General features: G+C 36.1%; 1 protein-coding gene across 2 annotated transcripts in view, besides 1 other annotated feature; it reads left to right on the top strand.

Annotated features, from left to right (window-relative positions):
- The window catches only part of ABCA10 (ATP binding cassette subfamily A member 10), a 96,842-nt gene that overhangs the window by 24,152 nt on the left and 52,605 nt on the right, over positions 1-20,085 (top strand). For both annotated transcript variants that reach the window (NM_080282.4, NM_001377321.1), the window contains 5 exons: positions 926-1,152; positions 4,339-4,480; positions 4,697-4,882; positions 5,846-5,993; positions 19,029-19,197. In NM_080282.4, the coding sequence (NP_525021.3) occupies positions 926-1,152; positions 4,339-4,480; positions 4,697-4,882; positions 5,846-5,993; positions 19,029-19,197 (872 nt within the window). The remainder of the gene's footprint in view (positions 1-925; positions 1,153-4,338; positions 4,481-4,696; positions 4,883-5,845; positions 5,994-19,028; positions 19,198-20,085) is intronic.
- Positions 6,796-7,716: an enhancer, noted in NCBI's record as "H3K4me1 hESC enhancer chr17:67209122-67210042 (GRCh37/hg19 assembly coordinates)". NCBI's record gives its function as "activates a minimal SCP1, AML or CMV promoter by ChIP-STARR-seq in naive H9 embryonic stem cells {active_cell/tissue: H9 hESC(naive)}" and the evidence as "EXISTENCE:reporter gene assay evidence [ECO:0000049][PMID:30033119]".

The following is a 20,085-nucleotide window of genomic DNA, read 5'->3' as shown; positions in this document are numbered from 1 at the left end:
GTGTGCTGGATACCTCTACTTTGATGTCTCAAGCAATTCAAACTTAGTATGCGCAAAAATGAACATGGATGTTTTTCTGTAAATGTGACTGAGTCTTATAAAATTTTCCCTATCTCAGTGAATGCTAAAACCACCTAGCTGAGTAAAAGGAACTGGGGATTATCAGAGAAAATTTTCTCTGTCTCACTCATCACATCCAATCTTTTACCTGGCCTCTTATTTCTAAGCTCAAATCTATGTACTTCAGTTCTGCCACCTGCACAAGGGCACATCTTTATCATATCTTGCCTAAACTATGGGAGTGGTTTATTTCTTCAGCCTTATCTACAGTCTATTTATTTGTTTTTGTGGCAGGAACCTCTTTTCTGTGCTCCAACGCACTATACACCTTCTTTCCTTTTCATATACTGTTTACTCTGCTCACAGTTTTCTTCTCCATCCTCAACCACCCCCCCTCCCCCAATCTTTGTTTAGGAAAGATCACAGCCTTCAACACTCAGTAAAAATGTCACTTCTTTAGGGAAGCCTTTCTTGATTTTCCTACACTTTTCTTTGAACATAGTTGCTCAATTGTAACTAAACAATTTATTATGCAATGATTTATTTAATATCTCTCCTTTCTTCTGCTGCGCTACAAAATGTAAATCTCTATGAGAATGAAGAGTGTTTCTGTTTGAATTGCTGCTGTTTCCCCATTACGTAGCACAGTATATTATGCATGACAGACCTTCAGTAATTTCTCAAATGACTCTTATAATTAATGTCAATTGGTATCAAAAGTTATTAAGATTGTTCTGATATTAATAGTTCATACTTTAAAATGATGAGAATATGTAAATATTGAAATCGAAAATAAAAAGTGTATAGTTTTCTAATATATTTTGTCTATAGTTCACATAATAAATTTGCTAATGTCCCAATTTAGGTCACAACAAATCATTCTGTAATGGAGGAGTTGACATCAGTTATTGGAATAAATATGAAGATACCACCTTTCATTTCTAAGGGAGAAATTATGAATGAATGGTTTCATTTTACTTGCTTAGTTTCTTTCTCTTCTTTTATATACTTTGCATCATTAAATGTTGCAAGGGAAAGAGGAAAATTTAAGAAACTGATGACAGTGATGGGTCTCCGAGAGTCAGCATTCTGGTAAGTTAAGTTGCTACTTTACTGTATATCATACATTAATTATTAGAGAAACTAACTAGGTTCTTAAAAAATTGGACGCACTCACAAGTTTTCTTGCACGTATTCAATTTAATCACCTTACTTGCATTAGAGTTTAAGATGCTTGCAGTAGAAAGTAAGTAAGGATTGTGCTTATGTTTCCCTGAGTTGAAGAAAAATATGTGATCATTACATATTGCCCGAAAAATGCCGCATAAAAACCACCCCAAACCCCACGACCTCAAGCAGCAATTATTTATTCTTTCTCATTTGTCTGCAGTATGGGTGGACTTTGGCAGATCTAGTCTGGGCTTGGCCAGGCTTGGATTCAAGGTACAGGTTAGATCCAGGTGTTCTTCCTGTGACTCACTTCCTTCTTGGGCCAGTAGGCTAGCTGGCCATGGTCTTCTCATTCAATCACAGAAACACAAGGGGGCAAGTCTCTCTGCACAAGCACATTTCAAGCTCCTGCTCACATCATATATAATAAAATCTCATTAAAGTAAGTCACATGGACAGAACTAAAGTCAAGAGGGGAAGAAGTGTGTTCTGCCCACCATGAGGTCAAAGCTAGTCAAAGTGACAACCTCACATTTAGTGACATGGGAAATTATGCTGCTTTTCATAACAGTGAGGAGCAGAAAAAAGTTCAAATAATTTTGGGCAATAAAGGAATTTACCACAGTGTCACTGAGGCCCGGTCACATAGTCTGTAAAAATGTTATTTGGTTGGAATTCATCAAACGGTATCAGGATTAAATGAGGCAATATGTTTAAATCACACAGCACAAACAGTGTTCGGTGTTTGTTAGTGCATGGTAAAAGACATCTCTCTCCATCTATATAGTCTATGCATTTATATATATATCTATGCTCTCCATCTATATAGTCTATGCATTTATATATATATCTATGCATTCATCCATTCCTTTAAGTATTGTCCCTTTTCCCCTAGACTTTGAGATAGTATACAATTATAGTAATAAATATTTAATAATAATGAGGTATTATAGTCTAATAATTATAGAAATAATAATGAACATTGTTTAAGTACTTTACCGTGTTCTAGGGATGACAGAACTATTATCCACATTTTACAGGTAAGAAAAATAAAGCAGAGAAAAGTTAAGATTTTTCCCTAAAACCTATAACTTATAAACAATAAAGCCAGAAATCAAACCTAAGAAAACAGCACTCTTTTAGAGACTGTGCTACAAAACTCAAAAATATTAATAAAATAAATTTAATGACAAGGGGGAAAAGGAGATAGAAAAAGCCTTTTGTGAAACTGGCCTACAGAAATGCATACCATATTATTAGCTTTACGGTAGGTAAATACTAAGTTTGGATTCAGGTTTGTTTTTCCTTTTTTTGCTATTTTTAACTGATGCATCATAGTTGTATATACTGTGGGGTACATGTGGTATCTTGATACATGTATACAGTGTGTAATGATCAAATCAGAACAATTGGAATATCCATTACCTCAAACATTTAATCTAAATTTCTGAATGATTCTTCCCTGATATAAAACCATACAAGGGTACAAGATAGCAGATTTTGTGTTGGATATAATTTTTTTATTAATTGATATGTTGCATCTGTTATTGGGGAGGGTGTCTTAGACAAGCTCTTTCTCCTCTTTTCAAAGACAAGGAAAATAGATTTTTAAATAATAAAATGATATAATTTTCTTAAAAATATATAGCTTTGTGAATTTTGGTCTTTAAATTTTTATAAGAACCCATTGCCAAATGCAAGTATCCCAAGTATTAAGGTAAAACTGCTATATTTCTTGTAAAGCCCTCACACTTCTTGTATATTATCCCTTCTACTTTCTATCTGATCAGGCACAAATTTACTACTTAACTCAGTAGATTGTACTGCTTTGCCCAAATAAGGCTCAAGTATGCCAAATTCTCATTTATCAATAGCTTGTTTTTTCTTATTGTTGAGTACTATTCCATGGCATGGATGTATTTCTGTTTGTTTAATTCTTCAGCCTTTGGAGGAGATATGGGTTGTTTCTAGTTTTTGGCATTTATGAATAAAGCTGTGATTAACATTCATATACAGGTTTTTGTGTGAGCATAAGTTTTAATTTTTCTGGGAAAAATGCTCAGTGGTATATTTGCTGGATCATGTGGTGGTTGTTTAAAACATACCTTTCCATCTACTTCCAGAGATTTTCAAAAGCAACAATGTTTTGGCTACTCCGACATTCAATCACAGTTATACAACTATAATCATCATGATACCTTTTTTTTTTTTCTTTTTTTGAGATGGAGTTTCGCTCTTGTTGCCCAGGCTGGAGTGCAATGGCACGATCTTGTCTCACTGCAACCTCCACTTCTGGGGTTCAAGTGATTCTCCTGCCTCAGCCTCCCTAGTAGTTGGGATTACAGGTGCCCGCCACCTCACCCAGCTAATTTTTTGTATTTTTAGTAGAGATGGGGTTTTACTATGTTGGCCAGGCTGTTCTCGAACTCCTGACTCAGGCAATCCACCTGCCTCAACCTCCCAAAGTGCTGGGATTACAGGCGTGAGCCACCGTGCCTGGCATCATAATACCTTTCCTTTTATTTTAGTTTCACATTTCTTAATAGCACTATGGTATTCTGATTCTTAAAAATAATACATTGTCTAATGTCCATAGCCATACAAGGATAAAAAATGAAATGAGCTTTACTTAAATTGGAAAGATTTCTGTTAAACATTCAGAAGAATGGTATACCTTAGAAAGCTTTAGTATAAGGAAGTTTAAAGGGGAGATTGTCGTTGTTTTTCCACTGACATTTTATATAGTCATTTAACTGAAAGAATAAAAGTATATTTAATTATATTAAATATAAAATTTGTTCTACAGCTATAGAGGTAATTATAGTAATGGCTACTTTCTGTGCCACATGCTAAACTAACATCTTCAAAAGCATTATCTCATTTATTTCTCAGAACAACCATATGAATAGCTACCATGAAAAACTCCATTTTACAGATGAGAGTGAGAGAAGATAAATAACTTGCTAATAGTCACAAAATGTGTATGGCCACCCATTTAGAATAAATTTAGTCCTGATTTCAGAGCTTTTACTCTTAACCATTTCGCACATTACCTCTCCAAACATTTATGTTTGTGACAGTTGAACTAACACCTTGTTTCTACTATAGGCTCTCCTGGGGATTGACATACATTTGCTTCATCTTCATTATGTCCATTTTTATGGCTCTGGTCATAACATCAATCCCAATTGTATTTCATACTGGCTTCATGGTGATATTCACACTCTATAGCTTATATGGCCTTTCTTTGGTGAGTTGGTAAAAGCATATTACCTCTTAACCTGTTTCAGATTACAGATACATGAGCAAATAATGTTTCTTTGGGATATTAGTGTAATCACTATATTTTCTATCCTATTTTCTATATGTTTTGAGAAAATTTTTGACAATGTGAGAAATCGATGAATATTGCTATTTATGAATCTTCAAGGAAAAATATACCAATCAGACCTCTTTCTTCCTTCAGATAGCATTGGCTTTCCTCATGAGTGTTTTAATAAGGAAACCTATGCTCGCTGGTTTGGCTGGATTTCTCTTCACTGTATTTTGGGGATGTCTGGGATTCACTGTGTTATATAGACAACTTCCTTTATCTTTGGGATGGGTATTAAGTCTTCTTAGCCCTTTTGCCTTCACTGCTGGAATGGCCCAGGTAAGAACATAATTATTTCAAGATTTTATTATTAGATTTTCAAAATATGTTCTTATTCAAGAATTTGGTGCCTCATGAAATTTAATAATCAGCCACTCTGTGTTTTAAGAAATTCTGCTGTTGAGAAACTAAATAAGAACAACAAAAAAGTTTTATCAAATGGATAAACAAAGCAGGCAGATCATTTGTAAAATCCTAGCAAATTTAAAGAAGAAAAATAATTGCCCATTATCTGACCACTGAGAAATATCTGGTTTGTGTCCCCCTTTAAAGAGGCAGTAAAATGTGAGGTTATGAATAACGAGTGAAGCCAGATGGCATGGATAAGGGTCTCATCTCTGTTGCCTACCAGCTGGTGACACTGGGCAAGTCACTTAATCTCTTTAGCCTGTCTTCTGCAGAATGAGGATGTCAGTAGAACCCACCTCATGGGGGTAAATTTTTAGGATTAATTGTGCTATTATATACATATAGCACTAGTACAGAGCCAGATACATACTATCTAAATGTTAACTGTTATCATTATTATCTTTCTAGTTTTTTCTTCAAGTCTTCAGTACTTATTTAATAATTGAATGTTTCTGCAATATCTTATACTTAGAATTTTTATGTTTCTTTAAATGGGCTCTAATTATGTTGCCCACTTCAAGTTTTCCTTCCCAAAGTATGTTATATTTGGTTGCTTGTCCACTTCTCCATATTTTCTTTGTTAAAATACCCATGATTAATGATGCAGTTAATTTCTCTTTTTTGTTTTACTTTCATATATAGCATTTTAAAATTTTGTGAGAATACTTACATTTTTTAAAAAGCAACAATACTAATAGCACATTTACTATGCATATTTGAAAAGGTATTAAAATATTAATTACATATCTCTAGGTACCACTATTTTTTAAAAAAAATTGTTTTATTTAGTTTTATAAGTTCATCTAACATTTTATTTTTTCTTTTAAATCTCAGATTACACACCTGGATAATTACTTAAGTGGTGTTATTTTTCCTGATCCCTCTGGGGATTCATACAAAATGATAGCCACTTTTTTCATTTTGGCATTTGATACTCTTTTCTATTTGATATTCACATTATATTTTGAGCGAGTTTTACCTGGTAAGTTAATAGTGTGGTTAAAGTTAAATTTAAAGCAATTCTGTTTCTTAAAACATGTATTAATATCTGTTTATTTGTAACTTAAGAAGCATTTCTGATAGTAGAGAAGAAAAAATTTCAAAACAATAGAATTTCCTCATTTCCATTTTACTATTTAAAGGTATGAACTGAATCATTTTTTTTTTTTTTGAGACGGAGTCTCGCTCTGTCGCCCAGGCTGGAGTGCAGTGGCGGGATCTCGGCTCACTGCAAGCTCCGCCTCCCGGGTTCACGCCATTCTCCTGCCTCAGCCTCCCAAGTAGCTGGGACTACAGGCGCCCGCCACTACGCCCAGCTAATTTTTTGTATTTTTAGTAGAGACGGGGTTTCACCGTTTTAGCCGGGATGGTCTCGATCTCCTGACCTCGTGATCCGCCCGCCTCGGCCTCCCAAAGTGCTGGGATTACAGGCGTGAGCCACCGCGCCCGGCCGAACTGAATCATTTTTAAAAATCATTTTAATTAAAAAGAACTGTATTTATTTTGGTTTTTGTCTTTCGTAAAGGTAGGATGTATGTGTGTCGGTATGTGTTTTAGTTTGAGAGAGGGAGGAAAACACTTAAATCACCTATTGAATAATGATGCTTTTTAGTGCCTAAATTGAACTCACTTATGTAAAATAGTTCATTAATTGGTTCTTGTTAATATTTGGCTCAAGTATAGTTGTTCTTCCGAATCTCAAAAATATGAAGAAGGAAACACAATATGAAGTTAATGGATTATTTCTTATTCTCTCCCTTTTGTCGAAACATCAGCCCAATAAGAATGCTTTCTATAATGTTATTAAAGGTAATAAAATAGGGGAGGGGCCACAGAGTGAAGGAAGCTCCTAGCTGAATTTTGTAATAACTTTGAGCATGAATTTTCCTGAGCAGAATCGGAAGGGGCCAGGGTGGGGGTTGGTTAGGGGGTTGAACAGGAAATGTAGGTACTAGCGCAGAAGCAACAGCCAAAGGTGTGGGCAGATGGGGAGGGCCCAGCCAGGCCCGAGAGCCCTGCTTGCTTTCTCAGCAGGGAGGCTTATAGCCTGGGGCAAGATCTCAGCCTTGCTCACTGGATGCCTGAATATAAACTCAGTGCTGTTGTGGGGGCACAGTGGGAGTGAGACTGGCCTTGCTGACTGTGTGGGAGCTGGGTGAGGCCTGTCACTCCTGGCTTTCCCCCACTTTCCTGGCTATCTGTATGATGCAGCAGAAGTAGCCATAATTCCCCTGGGAACATAACACCGTTGGTCTGAGAACGACCCTCCCCCCACCCGCAAACCTGTCGCCCACAGTGGTCACAGCAAGCCCCACCCAAGGAAAGTCTGAGCTCAGACATGCCTAACCCTGCCCCCACCTGATTGTTTTTATTCTCCCCACCGCTGGTAGCTAAAGACAAAAGACACAAACTCTTGGGAGCTCTATGGCCCCACCCATAGCCTGAGAAACCAGAGTACTTATCCTGGCCACTGTAGGGCGCTACAGCAGCTGGTGCTGTCTTGAAAGTTCCACCTCCTGGTTGGAGGCCAATGAACTCAAGCCATTACACAAAGTCATAACAGAACAATCCTGCACCAAAGAAGGAGAAAACAACAGATAATTCTACCACTTGCAACACCCTGGCTAACCAGAGGTCCTGAGTCTGTCCACGTGGCAACTTCACTGCTAGCATAACCAGCATTCTAGAAAACCAGCATGATGAATAGCATAGTACCTCACATCTCAATACCCACATTGAATGTAAATGGCCTAAATGTGCCACTTAAAAGATACAGAATAGCAGAATGAATAAAAATTCACCAACCAAGTATCTGCTGTCTTCAAGAGACTCACCCAACACATAAGGACTCACATAAACTTAAGGTAAAGGGGTGGGAATAGATATTCCATGCAAATGGACACAGGAGTAGCTATTCTTATATCAGACAAAAAGACTTTAAAGCAACAACAGTTAAAAAGACAAAGAGGGACATTATATAATAATAAAAGGACTAGTCCAACAGGAAAATGTCACAGTCCTAAATCTGTGTGCACCTAATACTGGAGCTCTCAAATTTATAAAAGCAATTACTACTAGACCTAAGAAATGAGATAAATGGCAACACGATAATAGTGGGGGACTTCGATACTCCACTGACAGCACTGAACAGGTCATCAAGATAGAAAGTTAACAAAGAAACAATGGTCTTAAAGTATACCCTGAACTTAACAAATATTTACAGAATATTCTACCCAACAACTGCAGAATATACATTCTGTTCATCAGCACATGGAACATTCTCCAAGATAGACCATATGATAAGCAACAAAACAAGTCTCAATAAATCAACATTATATCAAGCACTGTCTCAGACCACAGTGGAACAAAATTGAAAATCAACTCCAAAAGGAGCCCTCAGAACCATGCAAACACACAGAAATTAAATAACCTGCTCCTGAATGATTGTTCGGTCAACAATGAAATAAAAATGGAAATTTAAAAATTCTTTCAACCTAATGATAATAGTGACACAACTTATCAAAACCCCTGCGATACAGAAAAAGCAGTGCTAAAAAGAAAGTTCATGGCATAAAATACCTACATCAAAAAGTCTGAAAGAGCACAAATAGACAATCTAAGGTCACACCTCAAGGAACTGGAGAAACAAAAACAAACCAAACCCAAACCCAGCAGAAGAAAAGAAATCCCCAAGATCAGAGCAGAACTAAATGAAATTGAAACAAAAAATACAAAAAATAAATGAAACAAAAAGCTGGTTCTTTGAAAAGTTGAACAAAATTGATAGACCATTAGCAAGATTCACCAAGAAAAGAGAGAAGATCCAAATATGCTCAATTTGGAATGAAATGAGAGATATTACAACTGATAACACAGAAGTACAAAAGATCATTCAGGGCCACTATGGACACCTTTATGTGCAAAAACTAGAAAACCTAGAGGAGATGGATAAATTCCTGGAAATATGCAACCCTTCTAGAATAAACCAGGAAGAAATAGAAACCCTGAACAGACCAATAACAAGCAGTGAGATTGAAATGGTAATTAAAATATTCCCCCCCGCCCCCAAAGAGTCCAGGAACAGATGGATTCATAGCTGAATTCTGTCAGACACTCAAAGAAGAATTGATACCTATCCTATTGACACTATTTCAAAAGATAGAGAAAGAGGGAATCCTCCCTAAATCATTCTATGAAGCCAGGATCACCCTAATACCAAAACCAGGAAAGGGCATAACAAAAAAAGAAAACTACACACCAATATCTCTGATGAACATTAGATGCTATCAACCAACGAGTGGATAAAGAAAATGTGGTGTGTGTGTATATATATATATATATATATATATATATATATATATATATATATATCATATATATGATGTATATATATGATATATATATACCATAGGATACTACTCAGCCATTAAAAAGGAATGAAATAATGGCATTATTTAAAGCTGGTTCCCTATTTTTGCAATTGCAAATTGTGCTGCAATAAACATTCATATGCAAGTGTCTTTTTCATGTAGTGATTTCTTTTCCTCTGGGTGGATAACTAGTAGTAGGATTGCTGGATCAAAGGGTAGTTCCACTTTTAGCTCTTTAAGGAATCTCCGTACTGTTTTCCATAGTGGTTGTACAAGTTTACATTCCCACGAGCAGTGTAAATGTGTTCCCTTCTCACGACATCTGTGCCAACATCTATTCTTTTTTGATTTTTTAAATTATGGCAATTTTGCAGGAGTAAAGTGGTATTGCAAAAATATGGGACCAGCCCAAATGCCCATCAATCAATGAGTGGGTAAAGGAAATATGGCATATATATATATATATATGTGGCATAAATATGTGGCATATATATATATGTATATATATGCCATTGTATATATATACATATATATAATGAAATACTACTCATCCATAAGAAGGAATGAAATAATGGCATTTGCAGCAACCTGGATGGAGTCAGAGACCATTATTCTAAGTGAAGTTAACTCAGGAATGGAAAACGAAACATCATATGCTCTTGCTTATAAGTGGGAGCTAAGCTATGAGGATGCAAAAGCATGTGAATAATGAACTTTGGGGACTTGGAGGGAAGGATGAGGGGTTGAAGGATAAAAGACTACACATTGGATGCAGTGTATACTGCTCAGGTGATGTGTACACCAAAATCTCAGAAATAACCACTAAAGGCCGGGCGCGGTGGCTCACGCCTGTAATCCCAGCACTTTGGGAGGCCGAGGCGAGTGGATCATGAGGTCAGGAGATCGAGACCATCCTGGCTAACAAGGTGAAACCCCGTCTCTACTAAAAATACAAAAAATTAGCCGGGCGCGGTGGCGGGCGCCTGTAGTCCCAGCTACTCGGGAGGCTGAGGCAGGAGAATGGCGTGAACCCGGGAAGCGGAGCTTGCAGTGAGCCGAGATTGCGCCACTGCAGTCCGCAGTCCGGCCTGGGCGACAGAGCGAGACTCCGTCTCAAAAAAAAAAAAAAAAAAAAAAAAAAAAAAGAAATAACCACTAAATAATTTACCCATGTAACCAAACATCACCTGTTCCCTCAAAACTATTGAAATAATAATAATAATAATAATAATAAAGTAATAGCATAAGCTCTACAGATGGCTTTTAAATGACTATAAAATTTGTAGATAGTGTGTGCACATATAATCCTAAAACCTAATGTACAGTCATGTGCTGCATAACAATGTTTTTGTCAATGATGGACTACAGACACCACAGTGGTCACAGAAGATCATAATCCCATATTTTTACTGTACCTTTTCTATGTTTAGATATGATAAGATAGAGATACCATTGTCTTACAATTTCCTACAGTATAGAGTACAGTAACATGCTGTACAGGTTTGTAGTCTAGGAGCCATGGGCTACCACATAGCCTAGGTGCGTAGTAGACTATATCATTAGGTTTGTAGAGTGCACAATGACAAAATGACACATTCTCAGAAGGTATCCCCATTGTTCAGTGACACGTGACTGTACTTATTTAGCTCCATAAAAAATCTATGTTTTCCTCACACATAATTTCTTACATGTCAGAATCTGACTATTACTGTTATTTTCAAACCCTACTTATTTTAGTATGTTCATCTGATTTCTAATTCAGGTATTTTATTTGAAAAATATTTATAGCTTTCTTCTAGACTTATTTTATATTTGCTTAATCTTTATTGTACTATCGTTTACAGTTTAGTCCCTATGCTTCTTACTGGCAAATAATACAGTTTTCCAATTTCGTGATGTAACATGTTCATATGAGTAATTTCTTATGTATGTGGCAAATTGGCTTCAAAATTACTTTGAAAAATTATTCCTGTGAAGAAATGAATTGAATTCTCTAATTAGATAAAGTTTCTTCTTTTGACTAAAGAGCAGCATGTAGCATACATAACCCACATAAAATTATCTTAACATGTTGCCCTAACTTGTTACAGATCACAGTGAAAGCACTCTCATATTTGATAATTTAAAAAATTACTTTAATGTTATTTTTCAAACAGGCAAAATGGAACTTGAAATCCCAAACCTTGTCTACTTCTGTATGCACTCATTCTGTCACTTATACATATGGCAAGAGCATTAAAAACACCCTGTTCTTTAAATTCTTTTTATTTGTTTTGAAGATAGGGTCTCCCTGCTACCCAGGCTGAAGTGGAGTGGTGCCATCATAGCTCACTGCAGCCTTGACCTCCTAGGTTCAAGCTATCCTCCCACCTCAGCCTCCTCTGTAGCTGGGACCACAGACATGTGCCACCACACCAGACTAATTTTTTTAAAAATTTTTTTGTAGAGGTGGGGTCTTGCTACGTTGCCCAGGCTGGTCTCAAACTCCTGGCCTCAAGGGATCCTCCCACCTTGGCCACCTAAAGTGCTGGGATTACAAATGTGAGCCACTGTGCCTGGCATCTAAATTCTTAAAAGTGTCCTTCAACTAATTGGTTTAGGCTCTACTCTACTTTCTCATTGCTTTCTTCCTTTTGGAATCTCTTGTTTTATCCTTTGTCCATCATTCGTTATCCTTTATAATATAAATCAAATTAATTTTCTTTAGCCCCCAAAGCCCAGGAACCTAGCAGACAAAATGAGAATTTTTTGTAGTGGGTAGAGGAAGAAATAAGTTGTATATTGCCAAAGTTAAATTTTTTCTGTTTTGTAATTCTGTGCCATACTAAATTTTTGGTTTTCTGTAGTAAACATAATTTTTTTCCTAATACATTCTTTTTTTTTTTTTTTTTTTTTTTTGAGACAGAGTCTCGCCCTGTCCCCTCAGACTGGAGTGCAGTGGCGCGATCTTGGTCGCTGCAAGCTCCACATCCCGGGTTCACGCCATTCTCCTGCCTCAGCCTCCCGAATAGCTAGGACTACAGGCACCTGCCACCACGCCCAGCTAATTTTTTTGTATTTTTAGTAGAGATGGGCTTTCACCGTGTTAGCCAGGATGGTCTTGAAGTCCTGACCTCTTGATCTGCCCACCTCAGCCTCCCAAAGTGCTGGGATTACAGGCGTGAGCCACCGCGCCTGGCCTCCTAATACATTCTTATAAAATTTAATTAGTAATTCACTGTCTCTATACTTTATTGACCACAAAACCTTTTTAAAAATAATTTAATTGCCAAAAACTTGATATATTTACCATGTACACATGATGTTTTGAAATAGTATACATTGTGAACTTAGTCAAATCTAGCTAATTAACATATCCATTACCTCATATACTTATTCTTTGTAGTGAGAACACTTAAAATCTACTCTCTTAGCAATTTTCAAAATACGTTGTTATTAGCTGTAGTCAACATGTTGTACAATGGGTCTCTTGAGTTTATTCCTCCTATCTAACTAAAACTTTGTATCCTTTGACTAACAAACATCTTCCCAACCTCTCCAATCCCTGCTCTCTCTCCACCCACTGCCAGGCCCTGGTAGCCAAGATTCTATTCTTTATTTCAGTTTGTTCCACTTTTTAGATTCTACATATAAATGAGATCATATGGTATTTATATTTCTGTATCTGGCTTACTTTACTTAACATAATGTATCTCCAGGTTCATGCATGTTGTCACAAATGACAAAATTTCCTTCCTTTTTTTACAAGCTAAATAGTATTCTATTGTATATATATATATATCTATCTCACAATTTCTTTATCCATTTATCCATTGATGGACACTGGGTTTGTTGTTTTCATATCTTGACTATTGTGAATAATGCTACAACGAATATGGGAGTGCAGATATCTCTTCAGTGTAATGGCTTCCTTCCCTTAGGATGTATACCAGAAGTGTAATTGCTCAATCATGTGGTAGTTCTATTTTTACCTTTTTGGGAACCTTCATCATATTTTTCATAATGGTTGTACTAATTTACATTTTCACCAACAGTGGCAAGGCTTCCCTTTTCTCCACATCGTTGCCAACACTTTTTACCTTTCATCTTTTCGATAGCATCCCTTGCAAGAGATGTGAGGTGCTATCACGTTATGGTTTTAATTTGCATTTCCCTGATGATTAGTGATGTTGAGTACTTTTTCATATTCTTCTTGGCCATTTTTATGTCTCCTTTTCAGAAATGTTTATTTAGGTCCTTTGCTCGTTTTCAAATTGGGTTATTTTTTCTTACTATTGAGTTTGCTGTATATTTTGTATATTAACCTCTTATCAGATGTATCATTTGCAAATATTTTCTAATTACTCTGTTGATTCCTTTCCTGGCTGTGCAAAAGCTTTTTAGTTTGATGTAATCCCATGTGTCTACTTTTGTTTTGTTGCTCATGCTTCTGGGGTCCTATCCAAAAAAATCATTGCCCAAACCAGTGTCATGAAGCTCCCCTCTCCCCCGTTTCCTTCTAGTAGTTTTACAGTTTCAGGTTTTACTTTTAAGTCTTTACTCCATTTTGAGTTGATTTTTGTACAGATGTTCCTCAACTTATGATGGCATTTCATCCCAATAAATCTATTGAAAAGTTGAAAAATCATAAGTTGAAGCTTTGCAAGTTGGGACCAATTTGTATATGGTGTGAGACAGAGTCTACATCAAACTAAAATGCTTTTGCACAGACAGGAAACAATCTCTCATTTCCTCAAGTGGTGAGTATCTCTTTTCATGCTGTGCTGCCTGACAGGTTGGGAAGGGGTGGCACAGGTATTGTAAAACTGTCCTTTCTGCCCTCTTCAATGCATCTTTTCTTGCTTCTGATCTACTACACTCAGGTGCTGTACTCTGTCAGCTGGTTTCCTTAGCGCTTGTGAAGGTATTTTTGAGTGTAGATAGTCATTTCAAGTTAATGTTTCTGCTGGGGAACAAGTGCTGGGAAGTCCTATTCCACACCTTATTGATGTCTGCTGTACCAACTTCATTTTTTTCCTTTAAATGATACCTCTGATCATGTCGGGGGACAAATTTTACATAGAATATATTGTTTAAAAGAAAAGTATTATTCTAGAATCACATTTTCTGTGTCATTTGTATCTACCTAATTTCTGGAGGTCCTAAATTTAATGTAAGTTTCTACAACATGATGATGGGTTTTTAAGCTTTAATAAGAACAATAATGTTCTTTGTTCACAGACATTGTATGCTCAAATTCTGTCTACTATGAAGCTCAATTATAACAGTTAGCTATAAAGATAGAAACTCCAGACTTATGGTAATTCTAGGGATATTACATTTGTGCTTTTACCATTTCCGCTTCATGATCTTCTGTTGTGATTAGAATTACAAGTTTTACATCGAACTGAGAGCTTTTTGATAATTAATATGGTAACACAAATTCCTCATCTCTAGACTTTAATTAGCTTTTAATAGGCAACATTTTCATGTTTCTTTAAGTCCTTCACTTATTCATAGTCATCTTGTTTTTCTTTTCCAATATTCCCCCAGCCCCACTGCCCAGAAGCACAAGTAATCTTTAAACCTGGGAAAATTGAATTTGACTTTTTCTTTTCAATTCCTGTTTGTATAATCTATAATTTTAATAATCAGCTTTTAGTTCATTATTTAGTCCAGAACACACATCTTAGAGGTGCCAAAACAGTGATCTAGAGAAGTTGCATGACTGGCCAAGAACACACTTAGCAGAATTTGGACTAGAACTTTGAAACTCTGACCTAATGCTCTTTCTTTTTAAATATTAATAGAATTGAATATTTTATTGTTTATTCTGTTTTGTTTCCCTAGAATGTAGATCCCCACAAGGGAAGAGATATTTGCTTTTTATGACACTGATGCATCACAACAGTGTTTGGCACCTAGTAGATGCTCAATAAATTCCCAGCAAATTAAATAAATGCATATATGTGCCTTTCCATTTGAACTTTATTCAGGATGAACAAAGTGTGTTTTTCCATCTAGAGGCTACGTTGTGTATAGGAGGCTCTCAATAAATATTTGATGAAGTAAGGCAAGAATGAACTCTTTTTCTCTCTCAGCTTCAAATTAAAATTCTTTTTTAAAGTCCTTACATTTGATTAAATTTCACTTACCTTTATTTGGGTATAATACGTATTTTTAAATCTAATTTATTTATTTATTTTTTTGAGACAGGGTCTCACTGTGTCACCCAGGCTGGAGTGCAGTGGTACAATCTCAGCTCACTGCAACCTCTGCCTCCCAGACTCAAGCAATCCTCCCACCTCAGCCTCCCCAGTAGCTGGAACTACCAGCATACACCACCACACCCAGCTAATTTTGGTAATTTTGTAGATACGGGGTTTTGCCATGTTATCCAGGCTGGTCTCAAACTCCTGGCCTCAAGCCATTTAGCTGTCTTGGTCTCCCAAAGTGCTGGGATTTCAGGTGTGAGCCACTGTGCCTGGTCAATCTAAATTTTTATAAGCATCTTTCAAATCTTTATTTTTAGACCAGATTATATGTAAATGTTTTTACACTTATAATTCTTTTACTGAACCAAAACAAGCCAAGAATTGCTAATGGTATCTGTACCAATTAGACATCAGGTTTAATCTACTTATCCATTTAAAATGTAACTGCTTATTGAAGCCTATGATGGGTTAAACAGTCTGAGTCTTCAAGGCTTTTGCAGTTAGCATTGGAAATACTTATGTAAATTGGTAGTTAAATGTAGTGTAAGAAGTATAATAAGAGGATACCACAAGGTTCCATGAGAGGGTAAGTTCTAGGGTTGTCAAATTAGAAAAGGCATGGAGGAAACACCTCAAATTGCATTTAGAGGATAGGTAAGTTTATCTTGTGGAGAAGAGTCTTAAAAACAAATCATCTTAAAGAGTCTTGAAAACACATTTTGTCCACAGCCATATTGTCAACAGCATGTATGCCCAGCAACACATTTTAATTTTCTTCCTTTCTATATCCTTTCCTATTTGACAACAGTTATCCAGCCATATAGTCACCAGCATGTATGCCCAGCAACGTGAAATAGTATATCATAAGGGAAATTAAAAATTGTTTGGCAGAGCTGGTGCATAGTAGGAGTCTGTGATGTAGAAATTATTAACCAGTTTACAATAATTACCGGGAGATTTTTCCAAATGTACATGGCACAGGACAATATAGCATGTAAAGATCCCTGAGATTCTGAGGCTTGTCTCCAATTAAGCCCCTCTATAGGTGCCTGGTGATAATTTTCACTTGATAGGGAATGTACAGAATTTTGGATTGTGTCCTCTTGGGCAACTCAAGTATTGGTGATGATCTGTGACAAAATTTTCACCTTGTCAGATAAGAGAAAGAATGTGAAATTTATTTATATACCTTAATTCTTCAATTTGAAATTGTCTTCTCTATTGTGAGATCATAGCTTTTCTCTATCTGTATTTTGTAGTAAAAATATCATTTTATTTTTGCAGTGATGGTTATAGCATAGCAGATAGGCTTTTAAACTATCCTTAACACAACATATTTGTTTCTTGAACTATCGTTTGTACAAAAAATCCAAAAGCATTAGAACGACTGGTGCAAAAAATGGAGACAGACTGAAGTAGTAGTGTATGTAGGCTCTTTCACTGGTGAGATTTGCCTTTTAGGAAGCTCTCTCTGGCAGCTGCATGAAGAATGGGCTCAAAGCAGGTGGATACTAATCTGTTTGAGAGGATCAAATTAAGATGTCATTGTAATGCAGAGGGGAGAACAGATTCACGAGGTTCTTAGGAAATAGAAATTTGATTTGGTGGTTAATTATGTAGAAGTTGGGGGAAGTGAGAGGGAAAAGAGATGAGGATGGCTCACTGGTTTCCGGCTTTGGCTACTAGGGGTGAGGCACTGACCAGGACAGGCAATAACTACAGTAGTAGCAAAACAAGAATATAAAACATTAGTTTGATTTTTGATATGTTTTTAAAAATACTATAATTTCTATGAATAAAATGAATTCATTTTTGAATTTTAATTTGTTTCCCCTTCTAAAATTTTTTCTTTGTTTTTTCATAGTGTAATTTCTCTTTTTGGCTAGTTCAACTCTAGATCTGTTTACATATTTTCATCTTTGAACATTTCTTCTCTCCCACATAATATCTCTAAAACTGCAATACTATTTACATTTCTCTTGTCAAAGAATTTCTATCTATAACTTTTCCATTCTTTCCCATATATTTTTCTACATGTCATCAACATCTTTTGCTTTCATACATCAAGAAGTTTATATGTTGTGTCTCTTCTTCCTTAGCTCTTCTTTTGCTCAGCTCCATCCCCCTACATTATATTAGCTTTCAGTAACAGCTTGCAGTGAAATATTACATGTGAAAATTCTGTATTGTTTTAATTATCCTACAGTTTCTGAAAAATCTTTTAAATTTCCTCCTCTTACCACCAATAAATTCCTATTTTGTGGATATATCATTAAAACACCATCTCATTTATTTTCTTTCCTTCTTTAGATCTGCACTTGTATTCTCTACTCTAATAGATATGTCCATTTAACTGTCAAGCCATTTTTAATTGATTATACATAGAGCCCCTTCTACCTGAGAATGAAATGAACTATCTCTTGATAAAGATCCCTGTATAATTCCAGATCATAAAACGTTAAAGAATTATCTATGTATTTGGTTGAAAAAAATTTATATAAAATAAAACATGAGAAGACTTGTGGCAGAAACAATTTAATCTGTGCTTATTTAATTTTTCTAATGAATTAAAAAAATTTCCCATGCTTCCTACATCTGATCCTTTAATTTTAATTTTCTTCCTTTCTATGTCCTTTTCCTATTTGACAACAGTTGTCCAGCCTTACGTCTACCTTAACATTCTTAATATGTTCATTTTTGTGCTTTTGTTGTATTCTTAGGACTTGGAAAAAAGTTCTCTTTTATTTTACAGTGAATTATATACTCACTATTTTCAATATTTGTTTTTTTCTATATTATCAAAATAATATATCTTCATATGCTATGGCAGGATCAGCTTACACATCCCTTTTTTTAGCATCCAAATGTCTGGAAATCCAAAAAGTGAAGTTCTTGATGTTTGATATGATTCCCTACAGCTAGAACTGTATTCCCTTTCATGAGCTCTTTTATTTTTGTCAATCATAGCTGATAACTTATCGAAAGCCACAGCACTGTCTTAACTTTAATGCACCTGTAATGCTTTATTTTTAACATTATAGCCGGGCACGGTGGCTCACGCCTGTAATCCCAGCACTTTGGGAGGCCGAGGTGGGCGGATCGCCTGAGGTTGGGAGTTCGAGACCAGCCTGGCCAGCATGGTGAAACCCTGTCTCTAATAAAAATACAAAAGTTAGCCGGGCGTGGTGGCAGGTGCCTGTAATAGCTACTTGGGAAGCTGAGGCAGGAGAGATCGCTTGAACCTGGGAGGCGGAGGTTGCGGTGAGCCAGGATCGTGCCATTGCACTCCTGCCTGGGCAACAGAGCGTGACTGTCTCAAAAAAAAAAATTATAAATATAAATGCCCAAGATAAATAACTTAAGTTCAAAATTGATATCAAGTAAAGGACAGATGTCCCTTTTTATTGGTGTGGTATAATTGATGCAATATGTAATTGTATCTTAATTAATTAGATAAAGATGGCCATGGGGATTCTCCATTATTTTTCCTTAAGTCCTCATTTTGGTCCAAACATCAAAATACTCATCATGAAATCTTTGAGAATGAAATAAATCCTGAGCATTCCTCTGATGATTCTTTTGAACCGGTGTCTCCAGAATTCCATGGAAAAGAAGCCATAAGGTAACTAAGAAATTACATGACTATGTACACTTATAGGTAAAAGCTTAGTAAATGAAGCTGCAGGTCAAATGTTGATATAGATTATGTGTTCTTTTCTTTTTATTATTTCTCTGCCATCATCCTAAATTCCTCTCATTCACCATTTTCAAAGTGAATACTGTTGATACTATCAACAGTAAAATTTAAGAGACCTATCATTTTCTTGCCTCTCATCTTCTGTCTTCCATATTATCATCTCCCACTACTTATACTCCCTCTCTGCTTTGTCTTCTAACACACACATGGCTATGTTATGTATATGTATACATATGCAGTATATAAGTATATATTATACACGTTTTTCAAACTTAGACTATCTTCCCATAGGGAGTATAGGGACTGAAATTTTGAAGTCAAAAGGTCTCTTCACAATTTAATAGCTTTGTGACTTTCAGTTAAACTATATGATCTAGCTAAGCAGCTTTTTCATTCATTTCTAAGAATATATGGCCAGGTGCAGGGGCTCACACCTGTAATCCCAGTACTTTTGTAGGCTCAGATGGGCAGATCACTTGAGCTCAGGAGTTTGAGACCAGCCTGAGCAACATGGTGAAACCCTGTCTTTACAAAAAATACAAAAATTAGCCAGGCATGGTGGTGCATGCCTGTAGTCCCAGCTACTGGGGAGGCTGACGTGGGAGGATGGCTTGAGCCCAAGAGGTGGAGTTTGCAGTGAGCCAGTATGGCGCCACTTGCACTCCAGCCTGGGCGACAGACCCAGACCCTGTCTCAGAAGTAAATAAATAAATAGAATAGAATGCCTCTCTTTCATCTTTAATAATATAAATAATCCATAAGATAATTAAGCATATATGCCTGTTACATAATAGAAACTGCATAAATGTTAGT

The sequence above is a fragment of the Homo sapiens genome, chromosome 17 (assembly GCF_000001405.40).
Source record: "Homo sapiens chromosome 17, GRCh38.p14 Primary Assembly".
NCBI lineage: Eukaryota > Metazoa > Chordata > Mammalia > Primates > Hominidae > Homo > Homo sapiens.
This window is presented reverse-complemented; position numbering and strand designations above follow the sequence as displayed.